Raw genomic sequence first — 2,723 nt, 5'->3', positions numbered from 1 at the left:
CAGACAACCCACAGACTGGGAAAAAAGTACTCACAAACTATGCGCCCAACAAAGGACTAATATCCAGAATGTACAAGGAACTCAAACAAATCAGCAAGGAAACAACAAACAATTCCATAAAAAAAGTGGGCTAAGGACATGAATAGACAGTTCTCAAAAGAAGATATACAAATGGCCAACAAACATATGGACAAATGCTCAACATCACTAATTACCTCCTTACTCCTGCAAAGATGGCCATAATTTAAAAATCAAGAAATAATAGATGTTTGTATGGACATGGTGAAAAGGGAACACTTTTACACTGCTGGTGAGAATGTAAACTAGTACAACCACTGTGGAAAACAGTATGGAGCTTCCTCAAAGATCTAAAGGCAGAACTACCATTTAATCCAGCAATCCTACTACTGGGTATCTACACAGAGGAAGTCATTGTATGAGAAAGACACTTGTGGCTGGGCGCGGTGGCTCACACCTGTAATTCCAGCACTTTGGGAGGCCGAGGCAGGTGGATCACCTGAGGTAGGGAGTTGGAGACCAAACTGACCAACATGGAGAAACCCCGTCACTACTAAAAATACAAAAAAAAATAGCCAGGCGTGGTGGCACATGCCTGTAATCCCAGCTACTCACGAGGCTGAGTCAGGAGAATCACTTGAACCTGGGAGGCAGCAGCTGCAGTGAGTCAAGATGCGCCATTGCACTCCAGCCTGGGCAAGAAGAGTGAAACTCTGTCAAAGAAAAGAAAGAGGAGAGGAGAGGAGAGGAGGAGAAAAGAAAGGAAAAGTAAAGAAGAAAAGAAAAGAAAAAGACACTTGCACACGTCTATTTATAGCAGCACAATTCGTAATTCCAAAAATATGAAACCAGGCTAAATGCCTATCAACCAATGAGTGGATAAAGAAAATGTGGTATATAGACCAACAGAACAGAAGAGAGAACACAGAAATAAGACTGCACACCTACCACCATCTGATCTTCCACAAAAATGACAAAAACAAGCAATGGGGAAATGATTCCTTATTTAATAAATGGTGAACTGGCTAGCCGTATGCAGAACAATGAAAACTGGACCACTTCCTTACACCTTACACAAAAATTAATTCAAGATGGATTAAAGACTTACATGTAAAACTCAAAACTATAAAAACCCCAGAAGAAAATCTAGGCAATATCATTCAGGACATAGGCACAGGCAAACATTTCATGACGAAAATGCCAAAAGCAATAGCAACAAAAGCAAAAATCGACAAACGGGATCTAATAAAACTAAAGAGCTTCTGCACAGCAAAAGAAACTGTCATCACAGTGAACAGACAACCTACAGAATGGGAAAAAAATTTTGCAATCTATCCATTTGATTAAGGTCTAATATCCAGAGTCAAAAGCAAATTTACAAGAAACAAAAAACTTAAACAAACTTACAAGAAAGAAACAAACGACCCCATTACAAAGTGGGCAAAGGACATGAACAGACACTTCTCAAAAGAAGACATAACATGCAGCCAACAAACATATGAAAGAAAGCTCAACATCACTGATCATTAGAGAAATGCAAATCAAAACCACAATAACATACCATACCATCTCATGCCAGTCAGAATGGTGATTATTAAAAAGTCAAAAAACAACTGATGCTGGCGAGGTTGTGGAGAAATACGAACACTTTTACTACCCTGTTGATGGGAATGTAAATTAGTTCAACCATTACGGAAGATAGTGTTGCAATTCGTCAAAGACCTAGAGGCAGAAATACCATTTGACCCAGCAATCCCATTACTGAGTATATACCCAAAGGAATATCAAACATTCTATTATAAAGATACACGCATGCATATGTTTGTTGCAGCACTATTCACAACAGCAAAGAAATGGAATCAAGCAAAATGCCCACCAGTGATAAACTGGATAAAGAAAATATGGTACATATACACCAAGGGATACTGTGCTGCCATGAAAAAAAACAACAACAACAACAACAAACAACAACAAAAAACAAAAAAAAAACAAAATGAGATTATTTCCTTTGCAGGGACATGGATGGAGCTGGAAGTCGTTATCCTCAGCAGATTAGTACAGGAACAGACAACCAAACACCACATGTTATCTTTTTTAAACACAAGCTGAACAATGAGAACACATGGACACAGGGAGGGGAACAACACACACTGGGGCCCATTGAGGGGTACGGAGGGAGGGAGAGCACCAGGAAGAATAGATAATGAATGCTGGGCTTAATTCCTAGGTGATGGATAGATCTGTGCAGCAAACGCACACATTTACTTATGTAACAAACCTGCACATCCTGCACATATACCCCAAATCTTAAATAAAAGTTGAAGGAAAAAAAAAGAAAAAAATGAGATATATATATATTTTTATATTTTATTTTATATACATATGTATATATATATATATACATGCACACACATACACCAAGGAATACTACTCAGCCATAAAAAGGAATGAAATAATGGCATTCATAGCAACCTGGATGGAGTTGTAGACTATTATTCTAAGTGAAGTCACTCAGGAATGGAAAACCAAACATTGTATGTTCTCACTTATAAGTGGGAGCTAAGCTATGAGGATGCAAAGCATAAGAATGATATAATGGACTCTGGGGACTTGGGGGGAAGTGTCGGAGGCCAATGAGGGATAAAAGACTACACATTAAAGTCAGTGTACAATGCTCAGGTGACAGTTGCACCAAAATCCAAGAA

Source organism: Homo sapiens, chromosome 2, assembly GCF_000001405.40.
Source record: "Homo sapiens chromosome 2, GRCh38.p14 Primary Assembly".
NCBI lineage: Eukaryota > Metazoa > Chordata > Mammalia > Primates > Hominidae > Homo > Homo sapiens.
The sequence above is the reverse complement of the archived record's forward strand: the minus strand, read 5'-3'. Positions refer to the sequence as shown.